Source organism: Homo sapiens, chromosome 21 (assembly GCF_000001405.40).
Source record: "Homo sapiens chromosome 21, GRCh38.p14 Primary Assembly".
Lineage (NCBI taxonomy): Eukaryota > Metazoa > Chordata > Mammalia > Primates > Hominidae > Homo > Homo sapiens.
Genome location: NC_000021.9, coordinates 27,658,549 through 27,675,624, shown reverse-complemented (window position 1 = coordinate 27,675,624; position 17,076 = coordinate 27,658,549). Strand labels below are relative to the sequence as shown.

General features: G+C 36.9%; 1 long non-coding RNA gene across 2 annotated transcripts in view; it reads right to left on the bottom strand.

The window, feature by feature from the left end:
* Window positions 1–594: 594 nt before the first annotated feature.
* Window positions 595–17,076, bottom strand: part of LINC01673 (long intergenic non-protein coding RNA 1673) — a 36,413-nt gene continuing 19,931 nt past the window's right edge. Inside the window, exons 3-5 of one of the 2 annotated variants that reach the window (NR_183538.1) lie at window positions 6,095–6,273; window positions 3,479–3,635; window positions 595–917 (exon numbers count right to left, since the gene is read on the bottom strand). This is a non-coding gene — a long non-coding RNA (long intergenic non-protein coding RNA 1673). The remainder of the gene's footprint in view (window positions 918–3,478; window positions 3,636–6,094; window positions 6,274–17,076) is intronic. The other variant, NR_183539.1, reaches the window with a different exon arrangement.

Sequence of the window (17,076 nt, the reverse complement as noted above, 5' to 3'; positions counted from 1 at the left end):
ATGCACAAACGGGCATTTTGATGAATAGCTCTTAATTCTGTAAAAGGAGTTTAACCGCTTTTGTAATCAGGGAAATTCCAATTAAAGCCACAATGAGATACCATTTTACACCCACCAGATTGGCAAAAATTAACAAGTCCCAAAACATGAAGCTTTGGCAAGGATGTAGAATAACGGGAACTCATACAAACCCGATAGACTCTACACTAGTGGGAATATTTTGAAAAGCAATTTGGCATTATCTAATGAAGCTGAGAATGTGAAGACCCAACAAGACAGAAATCTCCTGAGAGAATATATATGGAAACATTGACCTATGTTTGCCAGTAGTTACATAACAAATATTGAATGCTTATAACAGTGGCACTGTGTATACTGGCAAAACAAATGAGACAAACGAACGAACAAAAGTACCGAAAAAAGAATCATAATAATTACAGGGAGAAAAATAAATTAACATATTGTGTTACATTCTCATAATACAAAACTTTTCTGTAGTAAAAAAGGGTGAACTGTAGCTACTAGAGAAGTTACATAAATTAAATCTGAAAATCCTTGTGTTAGTTAATATAAAAGCAAGTTGCAAATGGAGTAAAGAAATGAAGACCAAAATTTCAGTTTTATTACCAATGTATACTTTGGGAAAGAGACAAACAGCAGAAAAGAGAAGATGAATTTGAAGAGAAACTCAGAAATATTGCTGATGTTTTAGTTACCAGGGTTGTTGATAAGCATTAGAGTATTTGTTGTAATTTTTAACAGCTTACACATATAAATATTGACATTCATTTATGCTTTTAGAACTTAAGAAAAATTAAGACTGCCTTTAAATAGGTGTTCTAATAGTTTCTCGACACACTGTAATGATTTATCTTGACCGATCCACTTGTTGGTACACTCTGGTGGGAGATCACCTACTATAAAAGAGTAAAAGGACGCTTCATTATTAGCAATAGTAAAACGGAAGTCACATTTTTAATTTCAGTGTCTTTTCTCTATCACCTGAGCATATCAGTTTGGATTCAGTCTGGAAAGCAGAAGGCATTCTGTGTATTTTGAGTAGGAAGAGATATAATACAGTGAAGTAAAGGCACTCACAAGTGTTGGAAGTACTGGGGAAGTGAAGGCGATCTGTCACCAAACATCATATTTATGAGTAGCTACAAAGTGGATGATTCTCAGGAATATTCTCAGAAAGCATTGGCAGAGGCCCAGAAAGAATAAAACATGAATATTACCGGGCTACACTAGCAAACATTTTGTACATTCTGCGATGATTCTCAAGTTTTCCAGATGGTTCTGATGCAGGATATTTGAAGTTAAATCTTAAAAAACTCTGTGGTAGATTATTGTAACCACAGAACCAGCCTAATCTGACTCAACTTTGTGTAATAAAATGGTGAGTTTTCAGTTGCCATGGATTCCCTAGGTTGCAAGTTATGCAACCTGAGCATGTCCAGATTATCTAAGCCTGCAAGCATGGGTGGAACCTAAGTGCTCAGACCAAGAAATGGGGGACTGAATTAATAAGTGGACACCTCATGTCTTGATATACGATCCAATCAGATCAAGCCCTGGCATCATTTCATGGCACAATCCAGTCCGATCATGCCTCACAGCATTTCTCATTGCCAGATCCAATCATATCATTACCCTCTGCCTATAAAATTTGCCCCAGCCCCCAGCACTGGGAGACATATTTGTGTTGCCTCTTGTCTCCTTGCCAATCACTTGCAATAAAGCTTTTATTTTCTCAAAAGCTGGTGCCATGGTATTGATTTCTATGCTCATCAGGCAGTGAGCCCATTGCTTGCCTGGTAACATGAATATTTGATTACCCTCTTGATCCCTTCTTAGATATAAAACAATAATCACATAAATATTAATGCATTGCCTTCAACAGTAGCACTCATTAGGAATATCTCAGTGGAAACAAATGTTTGTGGTCAGCTGACAATGCCTCAATTATAAGCAGCTGCCTTTATATAAAGTCTCCCATTATTCTTACCATCCCCCACTATGGTTGACAATCAAAGATTAAGCAGAATTATTTCTGCTTCCTGACTTAACAGATTTTCCACAGAACGGCCCTAGCCTAGACCCTTCTAGGCCTATATGCAACTCAATTTAGCTACTGGATTTAAGAATTGTTCAAACACATGTTCATAAATAATTTAAGCTATTAAGAAAACAAAATGTTAAGACTTGGCTCTAGAGACCCAATATTTATTGCTGTGTGGCGACTTCCCCAGATACTCTGGTTCTAATTATTACCTTTTAGGAATACAGAAACTTGCTAACTTGAGATTTTAGAACAAGCTGCATGTAAAGCTGTACTGAAGGCACATGGACTAATGTGTCTGTGAATCCACAGAATATCCACGTGATTCCCAGGCTAATAGTGTCTTTCTTATATTGAAGAATGCCAGTCACATTTCAGTTAATTTACCCTTCTACCTCATTAGGTAATAGCTTTAGCTCAGTTAATTGATTAACATATTCCACTTATTAAAAAATAAACTGTTAAGATTCATTGTAACTAATAGACGGAGAGAATTCTGTGGGACACTGACACCTAATTTTTCTCTAAGCCTATCAACATAGTTAATTTTTTCTAGCTTGAATTCTTATAAAAATGTGAGGAGAGGAATATGAATATTTATATGTGTTTTGGCTTATCAAAATAAAGTTTACAAATTTCTAAAAAAGCTGTGTTCAACTTATATTTCAAAAGGTGTTTGTTACTTAATTGATCCATATAAAACAGACCCTCTTAATAACCCTAGCTTACAAATGGTCATGAACTTTCTTAAGTTCTCATAGCTTTTAAGGAGCAGAGCTTTCTATTTTCACCTCTAGACATACAACAGAATACCTGGGACGCTTCATTAGTGATAACTTCTCTGCCATCTCTCTCCCATTTATCCCTGCCCCATTCTGGGGATATGAGCAGTCTCTCTGTCCATGAAAGCTTCTCAAACCAAGAGATCTTTGCTTAGAAATCATATAGTGATACCCCCATAATGCAGCTGTGTAAAATCCCAAGCCAGACCCAGAAACTTCTGTTTTCCACAGTCCTGTGCAAATTCATGCCCACCTTCTTAATTTTGGCAGCTTAAAAACGGAACCATGCATCTGATGATTTCTTACTTGGATGGGATTATTTCCTGTACTCCCTTCCCTGGTATCACCTCTATGATCCATGCCCTAACCTGTAAACCTTGACCGCACATCACCCCTTACTCCCTCTGCCCCTGTGAACACACACTCCAACCTCCCTAAACTCTGCCCCTGAACATTCCTTTGTCTATTTCTTGGCTGGCCACCAGTTTGGTCTGATCTCCAGGGCTGAGTTTCTTAGCTTGATTTGCCTGGTGGTTGTATTAAATCTACTATTGATATGGTAGAGAGCAGTATTCTGAGAAATTTCATTTACTGTTTGACACCTAATACATTGACATTACTTTTTAGAGCATACATTATGCGTGCTTCTGAAGAGGCAGTGTGGTTGACTGATTAAACACAGAGAAAGAACCTCGAGTTAGACTGTCGAAGTTCAAACTCCAACTCTTTTGCTTTCTGGCTGTGTATCCTTGAGCAAGCTTCTTTATCTCTCTATATAGCCGTTTCTTCATCTGTGAAAATAAAATGGTAGAAATCACACAATTGTTAAGCTGATTAACAGTAGTTAATATATATAAAACATTTTGAACTCTTGTTGGCACAGGATAAGTGCTAAATATTTTACTATGATTCAAAACACTAGGTTGGTGCACTGATTTCACCACATATTTTATTCATTACTTACAACTGCAATATATTCTTTTGCAGATGATATCAAGTATGTTTCTTCATAGCAATAGCTAAATTCAGTTATCCCAAGAAATACCCATATACATTCTCTGGCAAGTGTACACATATAATGTGTGACTTATGGAGAATTTTAGAAGACTTTAACATGTCCACTTTGGACATAGAGAAAAATCTGCATAATAGCAACAACTTAAGGTTGTGTTTTCAACAAAGAAAGAAGTGCACAGAGTAGCACTTTGCCTTTGGCAGTGGTGAGGAAATCAGGCTACTTGAGGTGTTCAAGATGAGAAATGGCTGGAGATGGGAGAGGTTTGCATGATAGTCTAGATTTAATCTTATGTAAAGGAAAAGGGCAGGAGGATTGTACTATGCATAATTATGCACAGTCCTATAATTGAGCCTGGTTTGCATTGTAGGAATATTTATCAGACAGCAGTGTGAGGATAGCCAGTGTCCTTGGGACCGTGTCAGAAGCAATGGTGGCCAGAAATCTGGCAGGGCAGGAGACTGAGAGGAGGAATAATAAAGAAGTGCAATTCATATGCTTAGTGACTGTTTGAATGGAGAAAAGGAGAAGGCTATACCAGAAGTTTCACAAGGGTTACTAAATACATTATGTTGCCTTTTATTATAATGGATAATGTAGGAGAAAAAAATCAGTTTTACTGCAAAGTAGTTGATTATAGATTTAGACAGGCTGAGTAGGAATTGGTTGTGATAGTCCTTGTTTTAGAAATCCAAGAGTTTTTAAACTATTCTTGTACTAAGCAGAAAATTATTAGATGGCAAAGCAGAGAGAGCTGATCGCACTTATAGAAGGGGTTCTGGGCAGTATTGAAGTGCCAGTCCAGAGCTGGAGTTTGGGAATTTGCGGCGTTGTCAATTGTCACCATTTTCTGATGTTCTAAACCAGTTCTGAGTAGCCTAGGTCTTGGAACAAAAAGGTGGAATAGTTGGCTTTACCCAACCATAGAGGATTTAAAAACAGATTAGTCGGACCCACAGAGGGAAAGCAGTCAGGATTAGTGGTGGCAGCGTCATTATAGTATAAAGTCATAAGATGTAGCCAAGAGGCACATAGTAGGAAGCAAGGCTGAAAGAGGATTGGCAATTTATTCTGTGAATGTGGGGGGAACAGAAACAAGCATCTAGTTAAGCGCAAGAAGGGGATGTAATGAAAATAAGAATGTGGAAGAAGAAGATGTATTCCAACATTGGTATGTTGAGGATTAAGATTTTAGAAGTGGAGCAGTTTCAGATTTTAGGTGATATGCAGGCCCACAGAGTAACCATAAGGATGCATCATTACAGTGAAGAGGAAGAGAAGGTCCTTGTCACTGAAGAGTAAATAGCTCTGCAGGGCTACTGCTCTGAGCTGTGCTCTAGAAGATTTGCTGGAAGAAGAAATCTGAACTGCTGAAGGCTGAGATACTTTGTAGCTGTTTGAAGACCTGAGAGGGAAAGGGGACTACATAACACATGGGCAGTTTCTGTGTGGGCCTTAGAGGTAGCAGATAAGGAGTAAGCCAGGCCTAGACCTATCAGGCATTCTTTTAATATACAAGCTATAGCAGATAGCTAAGTTGAGACCTAGCAGGTGTGTAGGAAGAGAGACATACAGACTCCTTGATACATTGAGAAAATGCCAGCTAGCTATATAGGTCTAAACCAATCACTGGAATTGTCATCTAATCCAGATCACAACTGAAAATAAAGGAGGCAGGTGAGGCCACGTCAGATTGAGGCAAACAAAAAAGCCTTGAGCTGGTATTTCCAGAGATCACAGTTGCATAGACGGCTTTTTGCAACCACTGGTGGCCTTTGATGGTGTTGCGTGCCTTTTCTACAGTAGTTTCCTTCTCCCGCACTTTTGTTGTGACAAACGCACTTGGAGTCAGGAGAGAAATTCTATTCCACCTGAGCCCCAAAGAATTCACTATTTCAGTTCCAAATTCTTTGAGATTTTCTTAGCAAACAGCGCTATAGCCATCAGATCTACTTGGAATGAAAGCCTAAATATAGAATTGATCGTCTGATTCTGATAATTATTTCCTCACACTAATTATGGCATCCCAGCAATGCGATGACTGACTACAAGGGTGCCTTAGAAGCACGATCAATGTAGTCACTGGGTGTCAAAGATGCTGGACAACTCTTCCAAGGAAGCTGTGCCAGGGGATGTGGGGCTTAGGAACAACCTAGGAGGAGCCACTGCCAGGGTCCCTGAAAGAGAAAGGAAATTAGTTGAGGAGGTAGCACGATATGGGCAGTATGATGGTACCTATGTCATCATGTCCATGAGAAGATGGACTCAGTGTATCTGAAAATGATGCTTTGATAGTGTGTTGTAATGCATCTTCCTTTTCCATAGTGTTTCAGGTCATCTTTTAGAGATAAAGAGTTCCAGTCCTCATTATCTATTGGTGATATTGGTGGTATTGGTGAGAATTGATCATATACCTTTTAATAAGAAATAACAGCATTATCTTTCTTATCTTTTAAAGTCTCTCTGTTGGGAAAAATAAAATCTCTTTCAGCTTTCCTTCAATTTTTGAAAATTTTCCTCAAACAATCCACTAGCTTTTGATGATGCATTTGATGATTCTAAATGCATGATTTAAGGTTTCTAGTATTATTTTGAGGCTATTTCACATATTGGTTAAAAGCAAGGGCTCTGGTCTCAGATTGTCTGGAATTAAACATGTCAGCTCTATCACTTCTAGTTACACAATGGGTCACTTACTTGGACTTATTTGGGTTTCAGCTACCTCTGAAATAGAGTTTGTAATAATATCTAATATGTAGGATTATTGTTAAGACCAAATGTGAAACATTAAGAATAGTACTTGATAATGGTAAACAGTCAACAAATGTTTCCTATTACCATTTAGAAAGATATTTCCATACATGAAGCATATGCATTATCACAAAAATGATTTCCAAGTGGCCATGCTTTCTATTGCTGCTATTTTACATCAGATTAAATGGAGTGCTAACATTATATCAATAAATGTATTATTATAGAAATTCTCTCAATTTGTGATTTAAAAATTTTTACAATTACTGTTTATCTAAATTCTCCATTTATATTTTCTAAAAAAAGTTAAGATTTGAAGCTAAATCCCTTTGAAACGGAGTTAGGCAGGAAGTTGGAATTAACTTTAAATAGGGTGAATATACTTCTCAATCTTCATAAACCAAGATTTTCTCTGCTCTTTATTAAAAACCACAGGAAAACATTTCTCCTTAAGGGTATCAGAGCTTTTGGCCAGCAAAGGGCTCAATGATTATTGTGAAAACAAAAGACACAATAAAAACTGTTGAAATCCAGAGCAAAGTTTAATGTCTGGTAGTTACACATAAATAAATATCTCTGCTTATTCATAAATCCTCTCACAGAAATGGGAAGATTAATTTTTATGAGTTAGAAATAAATTTGAGGGTATTTTTTGAAAGATTGAAAGGGGATTTCCAGATCCCAATGTAATTTCAGGAGATAACTATTAAGAGGGTGCATGAATGGAAAAGCATCAAAGAAATTGATGTTATGCAAAGCAACAACTAGATAAGACAATCCCAAGGGATGGATTTATAAATAAGACACTAAAGCCAACAAAGTTAGCCCATCTGACAGAAATGCATTCTGGAGTTAGGCGATTATTAGGATTATTAGCCATTACATTTATTATAAATCAATTTATTTTTATAAAAAGCTTTTGTTTCAGATTATAACTTCCTTTACTAATAGATATTCTTGCTCTATCATCACTGGGTGCAACATTTTAAATTTTGCAAATTTGTATTGTCAAAGAAAGTAGGGATGTGGCTGTAGGCAGGACAGTGATGCTTGTTTATTCATTCAACCAACATTTATTAAACACCTAAAACATACCAGGTGTGCTCCTGGCACATTATTTGTTTGCATATATTTAAATTTTTAATAGACATATGGAGAAGACAAAGATGATAAAATGACTTACACATTTTCATGATAATTTGCTCATTAAGTAATTTGACCTAAAAACTAAACATCAAAATATTTTAATCAAAAGTTGAGGGAGTAGATAAATATATGAAGGATATGTTCATACTCTAATAGGCAACTGTGGCATGGATGAAGATATTGAATTCTATTTCTTATTTTTATAATTAATCATGTGACCAAGAAGAGATCAAAAGAAAGATAATACGACAACAATAGTAAAAACCCTAGGTGTATTATTTCTTCTTTAAATCAACTTGATTGAGGTATGAATAAGATAAAAAGAAATATACCTATTTCAAATGGATAGTGTGATGAGATTAAAGAAATGCATACACCTGTGGTCTCACAAGTATAATCAAGACATAGAACACAATCATCACCTCCGAAAGGTTTGTTTGGCACCTTTTTAGTCAATCACTTCTCAGAACACTTTGCTGTAGATAAACACTAATCTGCTTTCTGTCCCTAAAGATTAAACCTGCCTTTCATAGAATTGATAATTACTTCTTGCATGTGTACAGTAATTAACAAAAGATAAGACATTATAAAATTGAAGTATGTTGATGTGGTTAGGCTTCATGTCCCCACCCAAATCCCATCTTGAAATGCAATCCACATGCATCGAGGGAGAGATGGAATTGATTAATGAGAGCAGTTTCCCCCATGTTGTTCTCATGATAGTGAATTCTCAGGAGATCTGATGGTTTTATAAATGGTAGCTTTTCCTGCGCTGTCACACACTTCTCTCTCCTTCTGCCTTGTGAAGAGCTGCCATCCGTCATGATTTTAAGTTTCCTGAGACTTCTCCAGCCATGCAGAACTGTGAGTCAATTAAACTTCTTTCCTTTATAAATTACCCAATTTGGGGTATTTCTTTATAGCAGTGTGAAAATGAACTAATACACATATTATTTTGAAAATGTGATCAAGAATTCCAAGCTCATTACAAAATGGTTTCATCATAGATGCAGCACTACAATCATGAAGGGTGGTCAGTGGCTTCCTTTAGGGTATCAGATCTACTGGAAAGGCCCATGTCATTCCTCTCTATGTGATTGGTCCAAGTTTAGCCATGCAAAATAAAGAGTGAGAGAATCATAGAATAATAAAACAAGAGGCATGTAAGCCAACAGATTCAAAGTGTAGACAAAGAAGCTGAAGTCTATATTGCTAAAGACTTTATCCAGGATCACTCAGCTAGTGAGAAGAAAAAGTTAAAGAGGAGACTGGCTTCAGTAAAAGATCATAACTGACTTAACAGGAGTATATGAACTGATAATTCATATCATGGAGAGTCAATTAAACATTTGTTTTAGTCAACTCCAGGAAAGTGGTTTTTATATATTTCTAATATTATCCTTTTCAAAAATGTGTCCTTTCTAATCTCATTGTAGCCATTTAAGTAAAATTAAAATGTTTTTGCCTGCTTAGCTGACATAATGGTAATAATCACAACAATGCTGTCATTATAGTTGGATCCTTTAATCTTCCACACAGCTTGTAAATAACCTAAGTCTGGCTAGGGTTTATTGATTATCATATTGCCATTATAAAACTAGGAGCAGGAGCCAACTTTGATTGATTTCAATAAACATTTGATAATAACACTAACCCCAACCTCGGAGCATTTGAAACAAGAAAGCACGTCCACGTGCGTTATTTCAAAATATTACCTCTTTTTTCCCAAGGTGAGAAAATTAATGCCAGAAATTGATGATTGCTTTTCCTGAAATCACAGAGGTAACGTGAAGTAAGAGGAGACTAGAACCTTATTGCTACTTTTGGTCTAGGACTTGGATCAAGGTTACTGTAGAAGATTTTTCATTACCCAGCGCCCATCACTGTCAGCAGTATCTCTCTGTGTCTCTTCCAACTATTTCCCTACCCATTAGCCACCCAGCTTTCTCTTCTCACAAACCTGTGTGGTGATGATTAAGTTAAATAGATTTAAATAATAAGAATTCATGAGGCCAGGCACAGTGGCTCACACTCATAATTCCTGCACTTTGGGAGGCCAAGATGGGAGGATCATTTGATGCCAGGAGTTTGAAGCTGCAGTGAACTATGATTGCAATGCTGTACTCCAGCCTGGGAGACACAGCAAGATCCTGTCTCAACAAATATACACAAAACAAAATAAAAAAAAAAATACAAGAGTTTATGACTATCAGACCAATTTTCTGATCACAAAAATGTGTTCTTTGTATTTCTGTTGACAGGCCTTTGAGACTAATTCTTAACGAAATATGGCATTTATGTATGTTTTTTAAAGGTCACACTGATATCTGTGGGCAAGCATCGTCCAAGCTAGATATTAGGAGAATGGGCAGATTGGACTAAGATCAGGGAAAGAACAACCCAGCATGGATTATCAGTTGCCACTTCTGCAGGGGTTAGGGATAGGCCTCCACTCATACTTTCTTGGGGTCTCTTGAGTCCTAAGCATAAATTTATTCAAGTAGCAAAGAGGAATTTCCCTTTGGTCCTATCCAGAGACTATTTGGAGATCCCAGCTTTTTGTTTGGCTCTGAAATACCTCTTTAAGTCACTTGTATGTGATCTGAATGCTTTTTGTTTGTTTTATCTAGATTTCTTACATATATTCATCTCTTTGCCTGTTCTTTTTAAAGTATCTGAGTGCCCTACAAAAAAATATCTTGGACTAACTGTAAGTAAAACTCTGAATTTAATAAAGACAGTTTTCAACAGCAATGCCTCTTGTTATGATCATTGCTACCAATATATTTAAAAACAGCATTTTCTTATTAAGGTGTAAACACACCTAACAGGATTTCTTCCTGCAAATATGTAAAGTCATCCCTAATGTTCATAATTTTCAAAATATTTCCCAGTTATTATTCTTAATCTCTCAAATAATTTTTAAATATATTTATGTTATGCTCAAAATTTATAATTTTTGTACTTTTATTTACCACCTGTATTGGTTTTTTTTTTTTTTGAGACAGGATTTTACTGTTGTCCAGGCTCCAGTGCAGTGGTGTGATTACATCTTACCAGAGCCTCAACCATCCAGGCTCAAGCAATCCTCCCACCTCAGCCTGTCTAGTAGCTGGGACCACAGGCACTCACCACCATACCCAGCTGCTTTTTTATTTTTTGTAGAGCTGGGGTCTCATTATGTTGCCAGGGTGTTCTTGACTCTTGAGTCCTGGACTCAAGAAATCCTCCCGCCTCAGTCTCCCAAAGTGCTGGGATTACAGGCATAAGCCACTGTGCCCATCCTTACTACCTACATCTTACCGTATATTTGTTTATTCTTATAGCTTTTAAAATTTACTCCTTGGTATTAATCCATTCTTAATTAAATCACTACAAAAATATTTTCTTTAGGTTTAGAATATTTTCAGAGTGGCTATTGTTTTCATGCATGAAAAATATTTATATAGGTTTACTTTAATAACGTTTATTACTTTTTAATATGTTAATTTTCATTCATTTTCTTTTTTGTTTATGATTATTATTATTATTTGAAATAGAGTCTCACTCTGTTGCCCAGGCTGGAGTGCAGTGGTGTGATCCCCGGCTCACTGCAACCTCTGCCTCTTGGGTTCAAGTAATTGTCGTGCCCCAGCCTCCTGAGTAGCTGGGACTACAGACGTGTGCCACCACACCCAGCTAATTTTTGTATTTATAGTAGAGATGGGGTTTCACCATGTTAGCCGGGCTGATCTCGAACTCCTGGCCTCACGTGATCCACCCTCCTTGGCCTTCCAAAGTGCTGGCATCACAGGCATGAGCCACGGCACCTGGCCTGTTTTTATTATTATTTTAAATTGACTCATAATAATTGTACTTTTTGCGGAAACAGTGTGTTAGTTTGATGCACATATACATGATCAAATTAGGGTAATAAGCATAACCATCATATCAAACATTTATAATTTCTTTGTGTTGGGAACATTCGATATCTGTTCTTCTAGATATTTGAAAATATTCAACAAATTATTGTTAATTATACTCATCCTACAGTGCTATAGAAAACTAGAACTTATCCCACCTTTAAAGCTGTAATTTTGTGTATGTTAACCAATCTCTCACTATCTCTCCTTCCCACACTCTTTCCAGCCTCTAGTAATCACTGTTTTGCTCTTTACTTCTATATCAACACTGTAGCTTCCACATATGGGTAAAACAGAGGTGTGTTTATCTTTCTGTGCTTGGCTTATTTTATTTAACATACTGTTCTCCTTCGCCCACTTTTTGATGGGTTTGTTTGTTTTTTTCTTGTATATTTGTTTGAGTTCTGTATAGATTCTGGGTATTAGCCCTTTGTCAGATGAGTAGATTGCAAAAATTTTCTCCCATTCTGTAGGTTGCCTGTTCTCTCTGATGGTAGTTTCTTTTGCTGTGCAGAAGCTCTTTAGTTTAATTAGATCCCATTAGTCAATTTTGGCTTTTGTTGCCATTACTTTTGGTGTTTTAGACATGAAGTCCTTGCTCATGCCTATGTCCTGAATGGTATTGCCTAGGTTTTCTTCTAGGGTTTTTATGGTTTCAGGTCTAACATTTAAGTCTTTAATCCATCTTGAATTAATTTTTGTATAAGGTGTAAGGAAGGGATCCCGTTTCAGCTTCCTACATATGGCTAGCCAGTTTTCCCAGCACCATTTTTTAAATAGGGAATCCTTTCCCCATTTCTTATTTTTTGTCAGGTTTGTCAAAGATCAGACAGTTGTAGATGTGTGGTATTATTTCTGAGGGCTCTGTTCTGTTCCATTGATCTATATCTCTGTTTTGGTACCAGTACCATGCTATTTTGGTTACTGTAGCCTGGTAGCATAGTTTGAAGTCAGGTAGTGTGATGCCTCCTGCTTTGTTCTTTTGGCTTAGGATTGACTTGGCAATGCAGGCGCTTTTTTGGTTCCATATGAACTTTAAAGTAGTTTTTTCCAATTCTGTGAAGAAAGTGATTGGTAGCTTGACGGGGATGGCATTACATCTATAAATTACCTTGGGCAGTATGGCCATTTTCATGATGTTGATTCTTCCTATCCATAAGCTTGGAATGTTCTTCCATTTGTTTGTGTCCTCTTTTATTTTGTTGAGCAGTGGTTTGTAGTTCTCCTTGAAGAGGTCCTTCACATCCCTTGTAAGCTGGATTCCCAGGTATTTTATTCTCTTTGAAGCAATTGTGAGTGGGAGTTCACTCATGATTTGGCTCTCTGTTTGTCTGTTATTGGTGTATAAGAATGCTTGTGATTTTTGCACATTGATTTTGTATCCTGAGACTTTGCTGAAGTTGCTTATCAGCTTAAGGAGATTCTGGGCTGAGATGATGGGGTTTTCTAGATATACAATCATGCATCTGCAAACAGGGACAATTTGACTTCCTCTTTTCCTAATTGAATGCCCTTTATTTCTTTCTCCTGCCTGATTGCCCTGGCCAGAACTTCCAACACTATGTTGAATAGGAGTGGTGAGAGAGGGCATCACTGTCTTGTGCCAGTTTTCAAAGGGAATGCTTCCAAGTTTTGCCCATTCAGTAAGTCATTGGCTGTGGGTTTGTCATAAATAGCTCTTATTATTTAGAGATACATTCCATCAATACCTAATTTATTGAGAGTTTTTAGCATGAAGGGCTGTTGAATTTTGTCGAAGGCCTTTTCTGCATCTATTGAGATAATCATGTGGTTTTTGTCGTTGGTTCTGTTTATATGCTGGATTACGTTTATTGATTTTTGTATGTTGAACCAGCCTTGCATCCCAGGGATGAAGCCCACTTGATCATGGTGGATAAGCTTTTTGATGTGCTGCTGGATTCGTTTTGCCAGTATTTTATTGAGGATTTTTGCATCGATGTTCATCAGGGATATTGGTCTAAAATTCTCTTTTTTTTGTTGTGTCTCTGCCCGGCTTTGGTATCAGGATGATGCTGGCCTCATAAAATGAGTTAGGGAGGATTCCCTCTTTTTCTATTAATTGGAATAGTTTCAGAAGGAATGGTACCAGCTCCTCCTTGTACCTCTGATAGAAGTCGGCTGTGAATCCGTCTGGTCCTGGACTTTTTTTGGTTGGTAGGCTATTATTTATTGCCTCAATTTCAGAGCCTATTATTGGTCTATTCAGAGATTCAACTTCTTCCTGGTTTAGTCTTGGGAGGGTGTATATGTCGAAGAATGTATCCATTTCTTCTAGATTTTCTAGTTTATTTGCATAGAGGTGTTTACAGTATTCTCTGATGGTAGTTAGCATTTCTGTGGGATTGGTGGTGATATCCCCTTTATCATTTTTTATTGTGTCTATTTGATTCTTCTCTCCTTTCTTATTTGTCTTGCTAGCAGTCTGTCAATTTTGTTGATCTTTTCAAAAAACCAGCTCCTGGATTCATTGATTTTTTGAAGGGTTTTTTGTGTCTCTATTTCCTTCAGTTCTGCTCTGATCTTAGTTATTTCTTGCCTTCTGCTAGCTTTTGAATGTGTTTGCTCTTGTTTCTCTAGTTCTTTTAATTGTGATATTAGAGTGTCAATTTTAGATCTTTCCTGCTTTCTCTTGTGGGCATTTAGTGCTATAAATTTCCCTCTACACACTGCTTTAAATGTGTCCCAGAGATACTGGTATGTTGTGTGTTTGTTCTCGTTGGTTTCAAAGAACATCTTTATTTCTGCCTTCATTTCGTTATGTACCCAGTAGTCATTCAGGATCATGGTGGATGATCTTTTTAACATGCTGCTGGATTCAACTTACTAGTATTTTTTGAGAATTTGTTGCATCTGTATTCATCAGTAATATTGGCCTATAGTTTCCTTTTTTGTTATGTTCTGGGGTTTGTGATTCTCTGGGCAGCATAGGCATTGTTTCTTGGGATGCCAGTCATTGCTTCAGCTCCAGCACAATGTCGCAGGGTACAGCAGCAAATGGGTGAGGTGGATGAAACAGCTCTGCCAAAGCACAGGAGGAAATGCACAGCTTTAGCTCAGATCTGAGGGCCTGGAATGCAGCTCTGACTGGTAGGAGTTGGTGGAGCAGTTCGACTCTGCTTGGCTCCATGGCGCAATGTGTAACAGTGGCTCACAGCTTGGCTTGGGAATGTAGAGTCACCAGGAAGGGTGGTTTGGCGGCAGCTTCGCCTCAGGGATGAAAGGGTGCCATGGCCACTAGCCCCCCAGAACAAAATAGTTCCAGTTCCAAGACGGCACAGTGCGGTAGACACACAGGTCACAGGATCAGCTCCTTCTCTGGGGGAAGCACAGTTATGTGGACTTCAAGCAGTTCTTTCAGCTAAGCTTAGTGTCTGTGAGGACTGCAGATATCCCCAGTGATGAGGATTGGAGGCTCCCCAGGTGTTGATGGGGGCTGCTGGGATTCTCTTTGCTTACCTTTTCCCCACATTTCCCCAAGAGAGGTTTCTCCTGGTTCCCAGCTGATCCAGGCTGGGGAATGGTGTGGTGCAGTCCAAGTGTTTTCTTCCATTCTCCATGTGGCCATACTGATTTCCTATGCCCACCAGGGTTTTTGTTACTCGTTTTATGTACTGTAAGCTTTCCTTTAGTTATTTTCATCAGCATGTACTTTTGCATTTATTGTTTTGGCTGTCTTTGTGGGGGGCAACAAGTGCTCAGGGTTTCTACAAAATATATTAATTTTTAACTGTCCCGGTTAGTGAATATGCACTCTTTCTTAAAAGTTTTCATTTAATTGCCTTATTTCCAGGCATGCAAATCAAGTGTTTGCAAAAATGCTAGTAGGTCTTTATTTCAAGTATTCACATTTAAACATTTATTTTGTTTTGTGAAAATTACACTAACTAGCAGATTCAGGCCAATATTAATGGTTAATAGGTGAAAACACATGTAGTACTGCCTTTAGCATACCTGCTACTAGTAGTATATAATTAAGAATACATTTTACAATGGTGTTTGTATATAAATACACACACAGATACACACAAATTGGTAAGAAAATATAGAGATAGAAGATATATATAAATATATACACACACATACATAAAAAGCTTTTTATTTCTCACACAAATCCGCTTTAAAAAGTCTGGTTTTCTTCACCTTTTATGTCATATTAGAATAGAACCCTTACCTCTTTCAAGGGAGGTATGGGAGTGTAATATCTTGGCTAATTACACGTAAGTAAATGACAAGTGAGTATAATAATTTTATTGCTAGAACTCTCTAGTGCTCTCTTTCTCTAAAATGGCAATAGGTAAACTACATATTAATATGCAGTTTCTATAAGATTGAAGCAATGTCAAAGGCTAAGTCAACCCATGAAGAAAAGTTTCCCTGCAGAATGGCTTGAACAAACACTTTATATAAGTGAAAAAAATAATAGAACTACAATACTGAGATTTGGAAGTCATTTGTTACTGAAACTTAATGTAGCCTGTTCTAACATTCCATTTTAATATAATTTTTAAAAACATTTGTAAGTGTCCAATTAAAAATACTGTTGCATATTATGACAACTTTTTCCTTTCTACCACATTATAATTCATCCTAATACATTTTCTAACATAAGATGTCAGATAAAATTAATACTGCTTTGAATAATTTGAATTGTCTACTTATGAAAATATGATTTTTTTTTTGCCAGTTGAAGATGTTGTCATATAAAAGGCCATCTGATTTTGGACTAAAATGTTAAAAAAATGAAAAAAGAGAATGTAAGGAAAGGTTTATTCTAAAATTTGAAACTAAGTTTAAAAACTTTTCATGGACTTTAAGGCACCAATAAGTATTGTTCAGCAAAGGCATCTCGATGCTGAACCCAAGAACATAGAACATATTTATAAAAAAGTAATTTTCTTAGCATTAAATAACGTGCAAATCCAATCTTTTCATTTTGCTTTAAATATGATTCACTTCATTAGTTTTAGGATTCATTTATATTTTTTAAAAGGGAATATATTTTTATTATCATAATTTAGGGTAGAAATCTCTTGTTTTATCCCATGCATCCTCTCCTTTGGTATCAGAGAAAACCTTTCCTGTGAACATCCTTTCTATGTGCCTTTGGTGGGGTTGAACCTGTCCAGTATCTCACTCCTTCTATAAGGGTTAAGCTCATGACCGAAGCCTTGGCAGGGTATGATGAGACCAGGGTCACAATAAATGTTAGAAGATTAGGCAGGTAACAGAAGCAAGTTTAAATAGAGTTTTTCATGAATTTTCCAATGACAGATGAAAGACTTGCCAAGATCATAGACCAGTTATTTTGTAAGTCTGGAGATGGGTACTGATACCTTCCCTATGCTGAATGAAACTTGAAGAAAAAAGGAAAAACAAATATATTGAACTCATGGTAGT